Here is a 20,526-nt window from a genome sequence, read left to right on the forward strand (position 1 = left end):
CAGGCTGGTCTCGAACTCCTGACCTCATGATCTACCCTCCTCCGCCTCCCAAAGTGTTGGGATTACAGGTGTGACACTGTGCGCAGCCTTTTTTTTTTTTTTTTAAGAGATGAGGTCTTGCTATGTTGTCCAGGCTGGTTTCAACTTCTGGGCTCAAGAGATCTTCCTACCTCCTGAGTAGGTAGGTGGGACTATAGGCACATGTCACTGCACCTGGCTTACATTTGGAATTTAATTTGAGCTGTGTTCACTGTTAGTCTGCAAAAGCATCCAGATACTTTTGTAATTCATATGTTTTGAAGGTGTCTACAATTTATCTTTCTTTAAATTTTAGGTAATTAAAAAATAATTCCATTTTGTATAAGTATATGACTTTCAGATCGTGGAAATGTATAGATTGGTTTCCTACCTATTTTCCTTTCAAAAATAGCTTTCTGTTATCATTTGTGGGTCTGTTAGTCCCCCAAACATGGAACTCCTCAGCTGGACTCCTCCTCTGCGGCTCCTTTCCTTCTCTGAACTGTCCCCGTTACGTGTGAAGCCACATCTTTGAGCAGGGTATCACTGGGTGGCATCCCCAAGGAAATGTGGCTGTGCTGTGTGGCAGAGCCTATACCACCATTTGCTTTTCTAGTTAGGTAAGTGATGTCTTTCCAGTATGATTTTTAACTTCTTTGAAAATAAGGAAGGTAAAAAATGTATTCCAGGGAGGACATTTCAGAAACATTTCAGAAAACTCAGTAACTGGATTCATTGAGAACTGCCTCAGATTCCCAAACAGCATTGATAAGGAAAGGCTGAGAAGGGAGAGATGAGGGAAATAATCAAACTATAGGTTGAGCATCCCTAATCTGAAAATCCAAAATCTTAAATGATCCAAATCAGAAACTTTTTGATCACAACATGACACCACAAGTGGAAAACACCACTCCTGACCTCCAAATGCAGTCAAAATGCAGTCATGCAACATAGAATTGATTCCGTGTCCCTAAGAGAAAGGTAAAATTTCCTTCAGGCTATGTATATAAGGTGTATATTAAATATAAATGAATTTAATGTTTAGACTTGGGTCCTATACCCAAGATAATTTTGTATCTGCAAATATTCCCAAATCTGAAAAAATTTGAAATCTAAAACACTTCTACTCCCAAACATCTTGGTTAAGCGATACTCAGTCGATACTTAATCTCCTTCCACTTAGTTGCAATAGCACTGTGACAGTGCACCTTCAGATATTTTAGTTACCAAATCCACTGGCCTTTTGTGTTGGGTGATTGCCTTTTAACCTTGCAGCAGTTGATGCAGTTTATCACCAACAGATGGATCTTCTAAAATCAGATCATGTTACTCACCTTCCTAGAAACCTTCATGGGCTCCCTATTACTCCCAGTTCCTTTAGTGTAGTGTTCAAGGCCCTTTACAGTCCAGCTTTAGCTGTCCTCCCTGCTCTCCTCCAAACCCCACTACTCTCCTTTGTGGAATCTCCTCTTGAGCCAGAGCCATTCATGTCTTTTCCTTTCTACGTCTCATACCCTGTACCTTATCTCCACTGTTAAAATCCTGCCAGTCTTCTATGGTCTGTCTGAAAGACTTGGTCAGCCCCAGCATAATCCACAAGGGACTTGCACTGGCCCTGAGTTATCAGACCACTCGTGGTCGTCAACACACCTCTTCTTGCTATGGTTGATTAGGTTTTGGTGTCACCCTCTTGAATGAGATAGAAGCTTCTGTAGGTTAGAAACTTTATCCTGCACATCTCTGTGGCTGTCTCCAGTGCTTTTCTCTTCAGAGCTCAACAACTATAAAACAAAAGAGATTTTAGGTGATTTTTCATTACATTTTACCTGTGTTATGGCTGAGAGTTCAATGAAATCAAAATGTACTTGATAGGATACTTGTGGAGTTTATTCAAAATTTCATGCAGTATAATGAGAATTTTTTTCATTTTTTAAAAAAAGCAAAAATATTTTTATGGTGCTCTTCAACTCTTAAGTATTTGTTCAGCTTCGATTTGTTCATGTTGTCTGTATGTCTATTGGAAGGAACTTGCCACCAGAAGAAGAGTGTATTGTGGTACCTGGCAACAAGCCCTCTGGTGGTCATAGCCCAGGAGTGAGCTGAGATGTGTCCTTCTTAAGTTAGGATATAATGTGATGGCCATATTACCTTAGGCATTGCAGTCACAAGGTGAAGCAGTCTTTCCATGTTAGTAAATTACAAACTCAGCAACAAATGTTAAAACTTAGACAAGTGGCTTACAGCTTTGAATAATTTCTGGTTACCCTCATTTAAAAATGGGTAAGCAATTAGTGGGAGCACCTGGTATAGTGCTAATGTCAGTTGTCCAGAAGTGAGCCCTCCGTCTGTGGACTCTTTGACCCCTACTTTTGGGCCAGACTGGTTTTTCAGGATCACATACCGTTGCCCATGAGTGATGTTGCTATAATGCTTGTGTGTTTTGAGTCTTTGTTGATCCTGTTACCATTTTACTCCATTCAAGGTGAACCAAAGTAATTTTATAAAGAACATTTCTGACTATATCTCAAAATGTACCAGTGCTGTGGTTGAGTATACAGAGGTTAGGTTAAGATTCCAGGGCAGAAGACTCACACATTATTTCTTTTATGTAGTCAGTTTTTTTTTTCTGCAACGGAGTTGAAATTCTGTGAATTAAAGCTGTGTTTGAGAGCTCTTATTGCAAGTAGATTCTGAATTCTCCTGTAGAGGTTGCTTGTGCAACTGGATGTGAAAGTGCTTTCTGAAGGGTGTGTGTGCGTGTGTGTGTTGATGTGATGTTGCTGAGGCTGTTGTGTTATTTCTTTCATTTTACTTTTGGAATAGTTGAGCCCTTAAATTGATCCAGTACGTCTCCACAAATAAGTTGCAGAAAAGGGTTTTATGCTTTCCCATCTAGCATTCTTTTTATTTATTACTGTAGAAGAGATATTCATTTACTGAGCAAATATTTATTGAGAGCTTACCCTGTGCCAGGCAGTCTTTCAGGCACTGGGATACAGCAGTGAACAAAACAGATAAAATTCCTGTCTTCATGAGAGAGGCTAAACTCCAGCTTAAGTATTTAGAAGTCAAGATTGTACACACCATTGGTTAGAAGGGAAAAAGGGAAGAGCAGAGGAAGGGAAGCTTTCATGAAAAAAAAAAATTGAATCTTAAAGGATATTCTTATAAAACCCCCTTTGAGCCATATCTAAGGCAGTTTAAGTCAGTAGATGACAGATTGTGGTCTGCAAGGCTTTGCATCTGTCCAGGCCTCAGATCTACGCAAGTAGCTTGTACAGAAGGGGATTAGAGCTTTGTTTGCTCTCCAGTTTAGATGCCTTAAATAAACATCTCGTGTGTAATGACACCATCTTGAAAATAGCTAAAATTACCCTTTTCCTTTTATGCATGACTGTCATGGGTCAAAATAAGCAGAAGGCAGGCACTGTGTTTGTTGTCAGTCTTGGGGGATATTTGTTTGATTCTGGACAACAAGGATTAGAAAACTTCTTGACTTAGGCGAGTTTCATATCAGCAGTGCAATGTCCATGTGGTGGTCAAGCTCTGCTGTTGACTTGAAGCTTCCTGAGGCTGGGTCTGCAGTGGGAAACATCTCTGGGCGTCGCACCTAATTAGCTTCTGTAAATGCTCCACGAACTGAACTTGCTGCCTTTGACTTTCAAAGTTTTCTTCCCAGTATGTTGCTTTTTGTGGCTATTTTCAAAACAGCTTCTTTCAGCCGGGCACGTTGGCTCACGCCTGTAATCGCAGCACTTTGGGAAGCCAAGGTGAGTGGATCACCTGAGGTTGGGAGTTCGAGACTAGCCTGACCAACATGGAGAAACCCTGTCTCTAATAAATATACAAAATTAGCCTGGCGTAGTGGTGCATGCCTGTAGTCCCAGCTACTCGGGGGGCTGAGGCAGGAGAATTGCTTGAACCCAGGAGGCGGAGGTTGCAGTAATCAGAGATCATGCCATTGCACTCCAGCCTGGGCAACAAGAGCAAAACCCCATCTCAAAAAACAACAACAGCAACAACAACAACCCAGTTTCTTTCAGGATATGTACTCTTAGCAGAAAGAGACCTCAGCTAATTTTTCTTCCAGATCATGAAGCTTTTAAAACTCAAGTAGGAAGGTTGATTTGATGCCAGCCTAATGTTTTTATCATGAAAATTGTTATGATATAAGAATACATTTATTAATTGAAAAGTGTTTCTGGTACATCTGGGCAGTTTCAGAATCCTAATTTCTAGACCCTCAATTAGAGTTTATATCCCTTCTCACCAAATGCACATCTCAGACTCGAAAGAGTTTATTGTAAAAATGCTGTTTGTGAAGCCAAGCCTATGTTCACACCGGCATACACGATAATTTCAGTGATACAATCTTAAAGGGAAAAGTTTGGTTCTCAGCAAAACAGCTGCTAACTGCCAAGATGTGGCTGACCTTTGACAGACTCTGAGAAGTTCTGCAACATCCTGGAAAAGATCCATTTCATCTGGAGAAGCAGCACTGAGGCCTTGGCTGCTGAAGGATTAGTATAATTACTTCATCCCTGACAGAGAGAGCCACAGTTGGAACCCACCTGGGAAGCCTTGTCTAGGGAGGTGGGAGGGGTGCTGGCCCCACCCTTTGTTGTTGAAATTGGAATCTTTGCCACAATCTGTTGCTGGGACTGGTGTGGCAGGGTAAGTAGGGCCAAAGGAGCCCTGTGGGGATTTGTCTGAACAGGGGCTGACAAAAGCTGGTCCCCATCCAGCCAGCCCAGGGAAGTTAGCAAAGCCAGGGATAATGAAAGTGTTCAGCAGAGCGAATATGAGGCCCTAGTCGTGAGACTGCGGAACTGAGGGTGGTGATGGGGCCACCACAGGGGTAGAAACTCACGTAGAGGGGAACAGGCCCAGGCGTACCAGCCCCAGGTTCCAGTTCCAGCCTGTCCCAGGGATCCCAGATCCCCAAGTGCAAGTGATTGTTCATTCATCTGATAAACATGATTAAGCATCCACAACATGTTGAGGTGCTGGGAATACAAAGATGAATTTTCCCTTAAGGATTCACAGGCTGGCGTGGGAGACAGACTGATAAATAAATACCGAAGGGAGAAAGCAGCCATAAAAAAGGTGGGGCATGTCCTGGTTTGCCCTGGGTAGCCCTGGTGATTCCTTTTGTAGCAGCATAATTATTAATAGTGCTCTTGGAATTAACAGAAGAGTCTGAGAATGAGCAGTAAGTGGTGTGGTCCCCTGGGAAATGGGGTACAGCCCTGCCTGAGGAGCTAGGAGATGGGATGGAGGACCCTTAGGTGATGAGTTTGCCGCATGGATAAAGAATAGGACTCTAGGCTCAGGAGAGAATTTTCTAGTCAGAGGGAACAGTGTTGACTCAGTCATTCATCATACGTTATTTGGGTGCCCACCGTGAGCCATGTACTAGTGTACCTACTGGGGACACAATGGACAAAAATCTTGGCCTTTTTGTGCTTACATTCTAGCACAGAGAGAGACAAAACACAAGAGACGTTAATAAAACAAATGGCATTTTAAATGGTGACAAGTGCTGTGGAGAAACAACGTGGGGAAGGGGCATCAGGGCTGTGGGGGAGTCACGAGTGGTTTACTGGTTTAAATAGGGTAACCAGGGAGTGCTTTATTGAGATGTTATATTTCAGTATCATCGTCTAGGGGTAAGAGGGAGAGACGTGATGTGTTGAGAGAAGAATGTTCTAGGCAGAGGCAACAGCAGATGCAAAGGTCTGAAGGGGAGACAGACCGAGCTAGAACAGCATGGCACATCAGTGATCTAAGTTCGTGTGGTTTCCTAAGGTTGGAACCTAGGGTGCAAACTGAGGATGGGCAGATGAGGTAGAAGAGGAAGAGCAGACCCAGGTCACAAAGAACTTTTGTGCTAAGGATTTTTAAGCAGGTAGGAGGAGAGAGAATATGAGCCTTGGGATTTGAACTGCTGTGGGTGTACAGAAAAAGAGAAACTCAACGAGAGGTTTAGGTTTAGGGACGTGGTAGGCTTTTGCAGTAAGGGACAAGGACAGAAGGCTCATCTGAGGATGGGAGGGACACTTTAGAGGCAAATCCATAGGATGCAGTGGCTGAACAGAAAAGGTGAAGAGAGAGGGAGAAAGGGGGATCAGAGGGAGAAAGGGGGATCAGAGCCCAGTCACAATTCCTGGCTGGGATGGAGAGGTTCAGAGTCCCAGGCAACCCCTGGAATTGCAATAGCCTGGAGATAGTCTTGGGAAGCAGTAGTGGGTACCTAGAAAAGCATGGCTCCAGGTAATTGACAGCAGATAATTGTATGTTTCTAACATCATTTCTGATACCAGGTGTGTGACATTTTTCCCCCAGCACCAACCAGTTATCTGACACTAACTGGGTGTCCAACAGTTCAGTTTGTTTACTGGAAAGGGGTCCCCCAAGAGAGAGTTCTTGGATCTTGTGCAAGAAATAATTCGAGGTGAATCCACAGAGTAAAGTGAAAGCAAGTTTATTAAGAAAGTAAAGGAATAAAGAATGGTCATTTCATCCCATGAACAGAGCAGCCCTGAGGGCTGCTGGTTGCCCATTTTTATGGTTATTTCTTGATTATATGCTAAACAAGGTGTGGATTTTTCATGTGTTTTCCGGGAAAGGGATGGGCAATTCCTGGAACTGAGGGTTCCTTCTGTTTTTTTTTTTAGACCACGTAGAGTAACTTCCCAACATTGCCATGGCATTTGTAAACTGTCCTGGCGCTGCTGGTAGTGTCTTCTAGCATGCTAAAGCATTATAATTAGTGTATAATGAGCAGTGAGGGTGACCAGAGGGCAGCTTCCTCGCCATCTTGGTTTTGGTGTGTTTTAGCCAGCTTCTTTACCGCAACCTGTTTTATCAGCAAGGTCTTTATAACCTGTATCTTGGGCTGACCTTCTCTCTCACCCTGTGACTAAGAATGCCTAACCTTCTAGGAATGCAGCCCAGTAGATCTCAGCCTTATTTTATCGCGCCCCTATTCAAGATGGAGTTGCTCTGGTTCGAACACCTCCGACAAACTCAGTTCTGACACTAACTACACAGTTAGCACAGACCACACAGGTCAAAGGCTTAGTCCTACAAGAGTGCCCCACTTCAGACACCAGCCATGAATGGGGTACCCTGACTACTCACACTTCTGCTTAGTCAACCCCACACGTTTGGGGGTTTCCATGATCCTCAGGTTCAATAATTTGCTAGAACAACTCACAGAACTCAGGATGATACGTTTTTTAACATTTACTGGTTTATTATAAAGGATACAACACAGGAACAGTCCAGTGGAAGAGCTGCAGAGGGCACGGTGGGGGTGTGTATGCAGAGCCTCTGTGCACTCTGGGAATACCACCTTCCCAGCATGTCAGTCTGTTCACCAACCTAGATCCCTCCATCTCCCCAAAAAAACAGAATTGTGTTCAAATTTTTGTAACCCAATCTCCAGCTCCCCTCCCCTCCCTGGAGGTGGGGAGGTGGGGTTGAAAGATTCCCCCCCACTCTAATCACAGGCTTGGTCTTTCTGGTAAACATCCCTATCCTGATGCTACTGAGGGGCCCCACCTGAGTCCCCTCATTTGCATAACCTCAGGTATGGGCGAAAGGGACTTGTTATGAATAATACAAGATACTCCTGTTACCCAGGAAATTCCAAAGGCTTTAGGAGCCCTGTGTCAGGAACCTGAGACAAAGACCAGATACATTTGTTTTTATACCACAGATGTGGACATGTGTATTATACATTGTTCTTAAGAAGCCATAGAAAGCTTGTCCTGAAATACTCGAATCCTGGCTTCCTGAAGCCAGGTTATTGTTGGAGTTTCTGTATACAATTTTAGAAAGCTGAATTAGTAGGCCACCTTTTTCCAAGACATGTTTAAGGGTAGCAACAGTTCAACTCAATAAACATTTGAGTGTTGTGTGCCCAGGATCCCATTCAACCCCTCCAAGTCATTTCCCCTGTCTACTGCCTTATCTTTTTTCTTTCTTCTTCCATTCCCACCAACATAACATGCTGCAATGTTTCTCTTGATTTCACATCTCCTAGCTACCATGCCATTTGTTTCCTTTATTACCAAACTGTTTGAAAAGTTGGGTATGCTTATTGTCTCTAGTTCATCTCTTTTTCTTTTGTAAATCACTCTAATTGGGCTTTCATCTCCCACTCCACTAAAACTTCTTTTCAAGATCATTTGTGACCTCCATGTTATCAAATCCCATGGTCAGTTTTGAATCCTCTTCTTCCTTTATCAGCAACATTTGACAACATGACCAGCTCCTTCCTGGAACCCTTTTAAAATTTGGCTTTCTGGCCTCCACATTTTCCTGTCTTTCCCCCGCCTTGCTGGCTGCTCCATATCCAGCCTCCGCATTCCCGTGGCAAGTCCAGGGGCTCCACTCTGGGACCTTTGCTTTTTTCCTCTGTAGGCATTATTTAGATGAGCCTACGTGGGCTTCAAATACCCTCTGTGTGCTGATGATGCCTCCCGGATTTAGATCTTCAGCTGGATTTCTCGCCTGACCTGCAGGCGATCCAGCTATGTTGAGCTCTGCAGCATCTCTTTGGATAAGGGGCATCTCACACCTTAGCACGCTTCAAACCAGACTTAGGATTGCCCCACTCCCTCTTCTCTTTCTCACCTTGGTCAGTGGCAGCATCATCCTTTGGTTACTCGATGCAAAACTGTTTTTTTCCTTTTCTCCTATTGCACACTCAGTCCATCATCAGCCTGATCATCCTAACCACGTCCATAGCCACTTGTGCGTGTGCCAGGCCACTACCCTCCTTTGCTTGGATTATGTTGGTGGCCTCCTCACTGTGTCCCTGCTTCAACTCTCCTGTTGCCTCCGCCTGCCTCCCCTCAACCGCCAACTTTCTTATCTTCATGAATGTTATGGCCACTGCCTAGAGTGATCTTTTTTAAAGATCTCCATCAGATTGTTTTTCTTTGCTGCTCACAAAACCTGCAGCAACTCCCTTGTGGCCTGCATGGCTCCACTTGATCTGGGCTCTGGCCACCTCCCTGACTGCATTTGTTACTTCTCACCCTCTCTTCCCCAGCCACGCTGTCCTCCTTGCTGCTTCTTGAACATGCCACTGTCAGCATCACTCTTGTACCATAGAGGGGCTGACTTGTTCTCTTACTGCAATCAGGAATAGCAATCCCTGAAATAGCCAAGTCCTTCCCCAATCACCTGTTATTCTCTTAGGCTACTTTATTTTTCTTCAGAGCATTTGTGCTTACCTGACATCTTGCCATGGGCTCATTTTTTGTTACTTTATTGTCTTTTGCATTAGAATGTCATCTCCATGAGCACTTGCGCTTTATTTTACCATCCCTGTATCCATAGTAATTAGAACAATGCCTGGCGCAGAGCAGCCACTCCATAAATATTGGTGGAGTGAGTGAATGAATGAATAGATTGGTGGGGAGTGGGAGAGCTGCTGTTGGTTAGAAACTGTAGAAGACATGGTTTTGTCTTTAAGGATTGTCCATTCTAGTTGTGGGTTGGGGGTAGCTACATAAGCTGCATTTTAATGTAACAGTATACTTACAAGGAACAAGTTGGAAGTGCAGAAAAATTGGTGGGTTCAGAAATTCTGAAGATGCCACTTGTGTTGAGTCTTGAAGAAGAATTTTTTTTTTTAAGACAGAATCTTACACTCTCACCAAGTCTGGAGTGCAGTGGCGCAATCTTGGCTTGCTGCAGCCTCCACCTCCTGGGTTCAAGTGATTCTTGTGCCTCAGCCACCTGAGTAGCTGGGATTACGGGCATGTGCCACCACGCCTGGCTAATTTTTGTATTTTTAGTAGAGATGGGGTTTCACCATGTTGACCAGGCTGGTCTCGAACTCCTGACATCAAATGATCTGCCTGCCTCGGCCTCCCGAAGTGCTGGGATTACAGGCATGAGCCACCACGCCCGACCTGAAGAAGGAATTCTTGAAGTAGGTGGCTTTTGTAGTTTATAGAAGATAAGACAAAAGACCAGTTTTGGCTATGGCATAATGACCCTGAATGTTAGGAAAGGGAAACGGTATTAGAGTTGAGAATGTAGAGCTATTTTTCAATTTTAATAAAACATTCCAATACCAATCTGCTTGAATCATTGGGAAGACTGAAGGATTATGAAGGTTATTCCAAAGTAATAGGAGGAGAGTTTGGGATAAGGAAATTACTTAAAATTGCAAGCTATGTGTCTGGAAAAATTGCCATCTTGCATTTCAGTCATGAACTGGAAAAAATTTTCAGACTTGTTAAATATGCCTAAGTGTATATGTGTGTAAATGCAATTTTTTAATGAATGAGTGGTGAATGATTTAATGTTGAAATGATATAAGTGTAAACAGATGTTAATTCATTTGTTTTACAACAGAATTTCTAGTTGCTATTGGTGATGAGTCACAATGTAATTTAGGAAGGGGCAACATTTGATATGAAGAATACTGATTTTAACCTTTATTAACTCTTACGAAACCCTTTGAAGCCACCCCCTTAGTATATTAGTGTTCATTGGATGCATAGGTGATCAGCTTGAGATCCAAAAAGAATATCCTTGTATCCTCAGTTACAGTAGGAACTTCCTAAGCCTTATAGATGACTTAGCCTGCTTTCACATAAATTTAACAAGAGAGGAATAAGTTAGAGTATATACATTTTCTACTAATCTTTTTCCATCAGTCCACATCAACAGCCAAAACTTAGGCTGTTTTAGCACCTGGAGGGAGAGATGATTTGGATGGTTTTGCACCACAGACCTCTACCTTGGGAAAACACATGCAGGCATAATCATAGGTTACCTGCGGAAGGTCTTAGGTTACTGGCTTAAGACCGGAGGGTTTCATTTTTACTTTTATCCTCTATATTTTCATGAAGGATGGGTCACTAAGGGCCCTTGGATGTTTCTTTAGGAATTGCTAGTTTTTAAGCCGTTGCTTTGCCTTCGAAAGACATATTTTCACACTCATACACCCTACCTCACGTTTGGCCATGCAGTGTTGCTGCTGCTTCTATCTATATTTATAATTGGTTTGGCCGTTATTAATAGCAGAAGCTTATGCATATTTTTCTCATGTGAATAGCATTATGGATTAAAAAAGGGACATTCAAAATGGCAGACTCTCATCTAAGGTCAGGGAAATGTATTAAAGAAAAGTGTTACTGAAGTATAAAGATGTTAAAGGCATAAATTATAAAATGAACACATGTAGCTATTTAAGATTACATGATAGAGTGAGTCATGGCTATCTGGTTACTCATTACCTGGAATGTGGGTATAGGGAAGGAGGAAGTGTGGAAACATGTGCATGGGTGTTGGTCATTGTTCCTAAAACAAGTAGAAAATGATATATAACACTTTGAACATTTGCCTCCTTTCCGTAACTTAACATAACTTTTATTATAAGAATATTATATCTATGATTGATTGTTAATGTCATACTTTGTCTTACAGGCATAGCTTAGGTAGCATAGATGCATTTTAAATTTTGAAAATCTTTGTCCTTTTCTATATTTAGAGACTTTAACTTTCTTTGATGTTTACAAATATATTGCATTGATCTTTAATAGGACTCTTAAAATTAAAGCCAGCGCTAATTAAAAATTCTGGCTGTGAAAATAGAGAAATTGAGTTCGATAAATTTGTAGCTAGTGATCAGTTATACATTTTTTTTCACTTGGCCTCTTGTGGCCTACTGTTTCTGAAATCCCACTGTTTGCTTCATTTCTCCTCTTTCACAGACACTCTGGTCTATATTCTGTTTTACTCACTCCACATATTCAAATCCTGCTCATCTTTTGCGGTATATGGGAAACCACCTCCATTCTGAAGCCTCTTCTCTAAAGGCCACTTGGTGGTCCAAACACATATGGTCCATATTGTGCATTCTGTCACAACCATGACCTTTTATTTATATATGATTTTTATTAATCATATGACTTTTATTTATCTTATGTATCTCATTGATTGTTTCCTATTTAAGTATTAGACTTCTACAATAGTAAGCATCTTTGGAAGAGGGACTATACATGGATACTTTGTTGCTTCAAGATCAGTGGTCTTAAAATCTGCCTGTGTTTGGTTATTTATAGTTAACTTGTCAGGTAACACCATCCAATGTATTGTGTGTGTTATAAAACATACACAAGACTGGGAATTTTTAAAAAGTGATGAATACAGAAATATAAATAGAAGTTCTGATGTTTATATTTGTACTCCAGTGGCTCATCTTGGGCATGCCCTGGGATGCCCACACCTCACTTTGGAGACCTGGCATTAGGTTCATAGTAAGTATTCAGGAAATATTTATTTTTAGCCTTCAGCTATTCTGTGCTGCTTACTGACAAAATTCCCACCTATTGGAAATGAAACTTGAGTTTATAGTCTGAGTGTGTTTGAGACCTTGTAAGGGGGTATAAGGAACGATTAGTCAGAATAAGGTAGGTTATTTTTGAGTGGCAGGCCTTCCTAGCTCAAGGCATAACACAACAAAGGTTTGTTTCTCATGAAACACAATTTGATGGGGGTCTGTTGGGTTTTCTCAGAGGCTCTCCTAAAAATGGTTACTCAGATATCCAAGCTGCTTCTATATTGTAGTTATAATATCTGGCACACATGGCTTTTTTTTTTTTTTTTTTTTTTTTTTTTTTTTTTTGAGACGGAGTTTCACTCTTGTTGCCCAGGCTGGAGTGCAGTGGTGCGACCTCAGCTCACTGCAACGTCTGCCTCCCGGGTTCCAGGAATTCTCCTGCCTTAGCCTCCTGAGTAGCTGAGATTACAGGTGTCCGCCACCACGCCTGGCTAATTTTTTGTCTTCGTTTTTGTTTTTTGAGATGGAGTCTAGCTCTGTCGCCCAGGCTGGAGTGCAGTGGCACGATCTCGGCTCACTGCAAGCTCCGCCTCCCGGGTTCACACCATTCTCCTGCCTCAGCCTCCTGAGTAGCTGGGACTACAGGCGCCCGCCACCACACCCAGCTAATTTTTTGTATTTTTAGTAGAGACGGGCTTTCACCGTGTTAGCCAGGATGGTCTCGATCTCCTGACCTCGTGATCCACCCGCCTCGGCCCCCCAAAGTGCTGGGATTACAGGCGTGAGCCACTGCGCCCAGCAATTTTTTGTATTTTTAGTAGTGACGGGGTTTCACCATTTTGGTCAGGCTGGTCTTGAACTCCTGACCTCAGGTGATACACCAGCCTCAGCCTCCCAAAGTGCTGAGATTACAGATGTGATCCACTGTGCCAGGCCCACATGGCTTTTAAGATTGCTGTGGAAGGTGAAGAGAGAGCATGATAAGATCTTCATTGGCCAGTGCATAGTCACATGGGCCCAGCCTAACTGCGAAGGAAGCTGGGAAATACAGTCTCCTCTTGTGCCCGGGAAGGGAGAATGGAATGGGATTTAGTTAATTTATCACATGGTCTCTTGTCTGCTAGGATTATTTCAGTAAGGTTGTTGGCTGTTTGGTAATTTAACTTGTGGATACCATGTAAAGCAAGCTTCTGTGTGAATTTAAACATGAGTTCAGTAGTATAATTTAGAATGAAAGACCTCTTAACATATTTTCAATTTTTTAAAAAATAATAATTGTAATCATGGTGAATTTCCACATTTCCAGTTTAATTTTATTTGAATGCATTTCTACAGAAGTAAAACTGTTCATCCATTTTTCATGTTTCTGTTGTTACTTTTTTTCTTTCACACTATTGTTCAACAGACTTCAGTAGCTTTTTGGTTTATTATCAATAAAGACTTTTCTAATAGTGTTATAGTTGGTTGCTATTGCTTACAGAAATAGTTGATATGTGATTATTGGTGATTATTTGAAGATGTTTTAGTGCATTGGTAATTTATTGGAGTAGATCCATCTTTGTTCCAATTCTCATATTACTGATTTTCTTGGAACCAATATGTCTGTTGGAATTATTAGAAAATTAGATGTTGGTCTCTTCTATATTCATTCACATATTCATCCATTGGGAATTTCAGTAAAATGGTTCTAACCAGCTTTGAAACTTAAGCCAATGCAATGTTAATGTTTTTGGATTCAACTCTTCCCAGATGGGTGATGAATACATAAAAGTCAGTTTCCCCTATATTCAAGAACTTAAAGTTGTGTTTAAGGACAACTTTAATTAAGTTCGTTTTCCACATATGACTATAGTCAAAGATAGAAGGTGAAGAAATATGAAAATTTTAGAAAAGATTACAGAAGAATATTTTTGTTAAGAAAGGAGAAGAATATTGGGTTTTCGCAGGTGAGATGGGGAAGTTTCAGGTTATTGCGTAATGCATTAAGAGTTCCTATTTCCATAATATGAGTCAGGGCAATAGGCTTTCAAAGCTTCTCTTGACTCAGTGGTGCTATATTTTTAAATTGTAGATTTTTTATTCTGCTGAACCTGTGTGTGTCTGTTTGCATACTGAAGATTTTTCTAGATTTGGTAAGAGTTGCAAATGTTACAGGTGTAAGTGAATGAACAAAAATTATCTGGGCAAATTTTTAGCTCTTCTTATAAGGGTGGTTTGTATATTGTGAGGCAGATTCATCCACACCCCCACCCCTTATCCTCCCACCGTCCGTCCGTCCATCCATCCATCCATCCATCCATCCATCCATCCACCCATCCATCTTCCCATCCATCTTCCCCTCCTCCCTAAAAGCAAAGCTCTTCTTGTGTGCATATATTTTAGTCATACCAATTGCCTTTTTTAGTTTTTATGGTTCAGATACATGTGAAGATCAATGTGAATTAATTGTTATATTCCCCACTTTCAAAATTATCTTCCCTACTATTCAAAATAGTAAGCTGCACAGTAAGCTGACCAAAGGCAGCTTAGTATTTTATAGTCAATGTAATAAAATAAATAGCTTTCTAAAACTCAGAGCAAAGGAAACATAGAAAATAGATGAGACCCCAGTGAAAGTTAATACCATGACATCTTCTAAGCTTACTGAACTTGAACTTTTCATTTCCTGGTAGTCAAAGCAAAAAAGGGAAATGTGATCAGTTACATTATTTTTGCATATAAGACCAAAGTGCATTGCTCAAAAGAAGCAAAGTTTTCTTTGCCAATTAGATTTCAAAGAGATTTCTCCTGTGAGACTGACTATGTGAAGGGTGTCATCATGACAACACCTCCCAAAACTTAGTAATGCATTTTAGATAGCTAATTCTCATGTTACTAAGTGGAAGCAGCGGACATAACACCAAAGCACAGTTTAGGAAAAGCGAATCTATAAGGATTTAGATTTAGGAAAAGCAAATCTATAAGAGGTATAAGTAAGTGGCTGTCACCCTTGGCTGTCTGTTAGAACCAGTGCAGAATTCCCTTAGAATCTATAGGGTTGGGGAAGGGGAACAAGGTTTCGGCTCCGTAGGTGCCTAGTATACATCTAGGGATGAGAACCATAGGTACAAGTGCTGAGCTTATTGATGGTTTGACTCAATTAAAGAGTACAAGGAACAGATAGATTGCATATTTCCTTCAGGTGCCTTGTAGTTCTGTGAAAGTTTTTTGTGTTCATTTATTTGTTTTCTGTTTTCTCATAAATGGGCTTTGAATTAAAGGTGGTCTTCAGATAATTGGAGGTTTTATTCTCTGGTAAGGGCTTAGAGTACACAATTTCCACTGCCAATAAAAGATCCTTAATTTTAAAATTCATTAATAGATTGGTCTGCCTTCATTTTATGAAAATTTAGGAAGCAAACCTAGACTTGTTTGAATAGATGGCCCCTCATCTCTACAGAGATTTCTACAGAGATTAGGGGCCATAAGTCATATGATAAATAGAAAGTTCTCCAGACTGGAACTGATTTATGATAATGATTCCCAGTCTTTGGGCCTCGGGAGTTATTGTAGGGATTGCTGTTTTCTCAATCAGTAGGTATTTGAAGTACACATATTTGAAGAGAACAGTCATATGTGAGTGAGTGTGTGTGTGTGTATGTGTGTGTTTTAACCTTTAAGCAATAAAGCTAGAACTACTAGTCTAGAATAGTTTTAGAAATTGGCATTTCCTATTTGACAATTTATAAAAATTTTAGGGATGTCTTCCTTTAGCAGGTGTTTAGCACTAAAATCTTTGGAGACATGTGCCTTCATTCCAAATCTCTGTAGATTTTCTTCTCTGTCAGCAAGCCTACCATTGGCATATAGAAAGCTCCAGTGAGGGTCCTCTGGCATCATCCTAGGACTTGTCACTGAGTTGATTGGATGTGACAGCATGTCAGATTTCAGTGGCAAGAATGGCATGGAGGTGAGCAGAGGGTTGTCACTGTAGCTTTTCTAGGCAGTCTTCTAGCAATTTAATTTAGGAAGATTTAACGTGTGGAGTCTTTGAAGATGTATTCATTGATCCAGGAAAATTTTGAGTGCCGCACCTCTGCAGGTTTCGGTGATTTTGTTGGTGCAGAAAACTTGTTCTCAACATAAATTCGGAACACTGAAAGTAATCCTTCTTTGGAGGAGGACGTATTTGATTTGCGGAGGCCGAAGGGGACTGTGATAGGTAGCTCTTGGTAGCTTTAGCAAGCCATGATGGAGGGAGAGCCTTGGACTTGAGTATCTGGAGAGCAGGTGCAGCGTCGTTTTTATTTTTGCATCCTGTCCAATGCTGGGCACAGTTGTTGGCAGATTGTAGGCACTGGATACATCCGCTATAGAACTCAAGAAGGAAATGAGGATAAAAGTGATACTTGTTCAAAGGGGACCTAGAGAACTGACCAACAGTTTTTGGAGACGAAAGGGCATATCAGCTGGAGACTGTAAGCAAGGTAGGAGGGATAGGAGCAGCATATTCTCATTAGCCAGCTCTGAAGAAGGCTGTAATTGCCTTTGCTCCTTAGTTCAAGAACTAGCAAGGGCCTGCAATGTTACTAGTGCAAATGTAATCACACTTTTTTAAATTTTATTATTATTATACCTTAAGTTGTAGGGTACATGTGCACAACGTGCAGGTTTGTTACATATGTATACATGCACTATGTTGATGTGCTCCACCCATTAACTTGTCATTTAGCGTTAGGTATATCTCCTAATGCTGTCCCTCCCCCTTCCCTCCACCCCACATTTTGACTTTTAAAAGGAGATTTTAGGTGACTGTTTGCCTGTGTCTTCACATTGAATTTATACAGACCAGCATTAGAGAGAATTGCTGAATCCAAATAACCCAAATGAAAAATTTTAACTAGAGTATAAAATAGAGCCTCACTCCTCTTTAACTTAATTCTTCGAGTATTTTAAACCCACAGAGCTCTTTGTAAGCATATGAATGTGCACTTATATATGTCTACTGAAATAACATTTTATTTCATTTCCTCTTTGTTATTTGTAAATAGTTGGCAAGCAAACATAGACTTTGAAAATGCCATACATTAATTTTATTTCTTTTTTTGCATGAATATGAGAAAAGGTGATGTTAGGATTAATTACACCAGTTTTTTTCTGAGCATATACCATGTGTTGCACTGTGCTAGGCACTAGATGGTGAGTCTTAATTCCCACTCTCAAAAGAAACTGTAAACAAAAAAAGTCTCCCAAACTTAAAACACAACATATTACACACCATATTACAAGGCTGTAATAGATGTAGAAATAGGATTTTATAGGTGTACAGGCAAGGGACTCCTAGAGCGAGCTGAGAGGCAGGGAGTTCCAGGGAAATGAGCCAGGAAAAACAGCAGGGCCAGCTCTAGAGGAGGGCCTTGCTTGCTTTGTAATCTGTAGCACATCAGTGAGAAATCAAGCTTTTAGGATTTGATTCTGTATGAGTGTATCTTGCTTGGTTTTGACCTCTCTGGGTAACCAGAAATCAGTCTGAGTATATAGAAATGGAGCTTTCATATTGAAGGTACAAGCTTGTATCAAGCTTATATTTTGTAATAAAAATATGTGTACTATGTAGAGCTCCCAAGGACCTGATGCCTGTCTCCAGATTACCCTGAAGCAGTCTCTGTTCCGATCCAAGGTCTCTCGCTTCTACCCAGCTGTTCTGGGAGGATTGTCTCTAGTCTTTTATCAGATAACTTTAAGCCCCTGCAGATACGTAGTAATAAATACCAACTTCCTGCTTGCAGATCCAAGTGTTTGCTTCTCTCAAAAAATATATATGTAATCTGTGTGTGATATTTCAACATAGTCATTTTCTTGTAGCCACTTCTGAGATGTATTGACATGACTTAAAACACTTGAAGCAGTATTTGAGTGCTGTGCATTTGGATGTGTTCTGAAGCAGCACTGTCTGTGTGATGGAAGCATGCAAGAGTTGTTTGAAACCCTTTGTGTCAGGGCACTTTCTGTGTACCAATGTTAAATCTTCCTCTAGCAGTCACATAGCTTAAAGCATGGCTGTTTAGTCACTCCCTGCCTAAAGTCCAGGGCCAGGCTCTGACTGGATTGGTGGAGAGCATAGCAAGCTTGTAAACTGATGAGGGAGGGAGTGGCCTCTTTGCATTTTAGGCTAACTCCAGTAAGGAAGAGGAGGGCTGCAGGGAAGAGAGCCTGCAGGCCGAGTGGTATATGATATTTTTGCTTTACCCATTCTTGTGTGACTACTTTGAAGTCATTTTGTTATGCAGACACTTTAGCACTGAAAACACCATAAACATAAGCAATCTCAAATAATGTGCAGAACAGACTTGGCATCTTGAGCTTCCTTATTGTTGAAACCCTTTACTTAGAGTGGCAACCAGGACAGGGGTAAGGGAGGGAATGGGAGTGGAAACCATCTGGAAGACACACTCACATAAGCCCTACTATGTTGACCATACACAGTCCTCTCAGAGAAAGCTGTCAGTCACTCTAGGCCTGGAGCCTGCTCAGTCTCTGACGGGGCTTCTCTCTCCATGGTCTGAATCATCGTCCTCTGATGTCCTTTTGAGTCACTGATTTTCTTTTTAAAATTAAGACATGGATTTGGCTAAGTCATGATGGAACTTACTTGTTTTCTATTTGAAAGTCTAGAGGAAGGGTTTCCACATTTTATCTCTGTTACAAATTTGCAAACCTTGTTTGAATAGGTACATCATAAACCCTGGGTATGGCAGGATGTTGAGCCTCCGGACCACATTAGGATCATGTCAGTCAAGACTGCCCCCAAAATCCTTGGAACTGCTGCTAAGACATCTATCTCTCTGGTGCCTAAGCAAAATAAATGCATTATACTTATAATCAGAGTACTCCTTTGAACCATAGTTTTGGGGGACAGAACTGATACAATTTTGCTTTGAGTTCTAACAAATTTCTTACAGAAATGTTTAAATGTATGAAGTTAAATCTGGCTACAAGGGGGACAAGATTAGGAATGGAGAAGGAGTCATGGTAATGAAAAAAACTACATTTTTTGACAGCATTGTATCAAGATGGCTTGTGAAAATGTCTTGCTTAGATATAGAAATCCCCATTAAGAGGTTCCTGAAAGCCAAAAATGAGAGACTCCTCTAAGACAATGGCAAGCTGGTGATGGTAAGGAAAGGGTGACTTTGGAAGGTATTGGGTGGCTGGATGAAAGAAGAAAAGCAAAATTTTAATCACAAAAACTTTTTTCTGGTCTTAGTATTCCTCTCATGCTTTGGGGAAAGGTTTTGTTGTTGTTTTCAACAGGCAACACGGACCAGATGACTTGTCCTCACATCACTAAATTATTTTCTAGTTAGATAGTACATGATTTCTGTAAACTGAGCTCCTGAGGGTAGGGACAGTATCCTTTGTATGCCTCTGCCTGACACTCTCCTGACACATAAAATGTTTATTGAATTAAGGAGTACTGAATTATCTTAAAATTATTCCCAGAATGCTTCCTTCTTTACAGTATCATGATATGAATTTAGCTATTAACAAGGAAGACTCTTATTATTCTTATTTTTATTATTTTGCCAATTCACTTTTCTTTCTGCACAATAATATATGCAAGCTCAGACATTTCATGGTATATACACAGTGGTCTGTGTGTATGTATGTGCAAGTATCTGTCTATATTCAGGCATCTCATTAATATTGGTAGATTTAATTGAATTTTGCAGCCACTCCATGAAATGGCTACAGATTTGGTTTTCCTAAACATGAATAGATTGATGACCTTGATTCTGTAAGGCACACCCACAGATTCGGCCCCCACATACCTTTTAGTCTTGTATTGAGCACCTGCTGCATTTCAGACCAAGGGTACTTTATAGACATCCTCTGCACAGCCCTGTGAGGCTTCAAGCACAAACCAAAGCTTGAAGAAGTTGATAGCCTTTTACCGCTGCCCATTTTCTCTCCTTTATGCATTAAAAAAAAAAATCAGACAGTATGTACTTGGGGTTCCAGTTCAAATGGCATCTCTGCCTATTGCCTTCTGTGATAACCTGAGCCAGATCTCTGCACTTCCACAGTATATGGTGCTATTCAGGTCCCCAGCACAGTGCTTTCTAGGGCAGATGGGGCACTGGGGGCTGTCAGAGTTAGAGGAGAGTGTTTTACATTTGACTCTTGTAAACATGAAAGCTTCACTTAACCAAGCA

The 20,526-nt window shown here is 41.1% G+C and overlaps 1 protein-coding gene across 13 annotated transcripts in view, besides 1 other annotated feature; it reads left to right on the top strand.

The window, feature by feature from the left end:
• MYO1B (myosin IB) overlaps nt 1–20,526 on the top strand; it is a 179,983-nt gene that overhangs the window by 55,148 nt on the left and 104,309 nt on the right. The gene's annotated exons all lie outside the window — the stretch shown is intronic.
• Nucleotides 3,367–4,285: an enhancer, noted in NCBI's record as "H3K27ac-H3K4me1 hESC enhancer chr2:192168644-192169562 (GRCh37/hg19 assembly coordinates)". NCBI's record gives its function as "activates a minimal SCP1, AML or CMV promoter by ChIP-STARR-seq in primed H9 embryonic stem cells {active_cell/tissue: H9 hESC(primed)}" and the evidence as "EXISTENCE:reporter gene assay evidence [ECO:0000049][PMID:30033119]".

This window comes from Homo sapiens, chromosome 2, assembly GCF_000001405.40.
Source record: "Homo sapiens chromosome 2, GRCh38.p14 Primary Assembly".
NCBI lineage: Eukaryota > Metazoa > Chordata > Mammalia > Primates > Hominidae > Homo > Homo sapiens.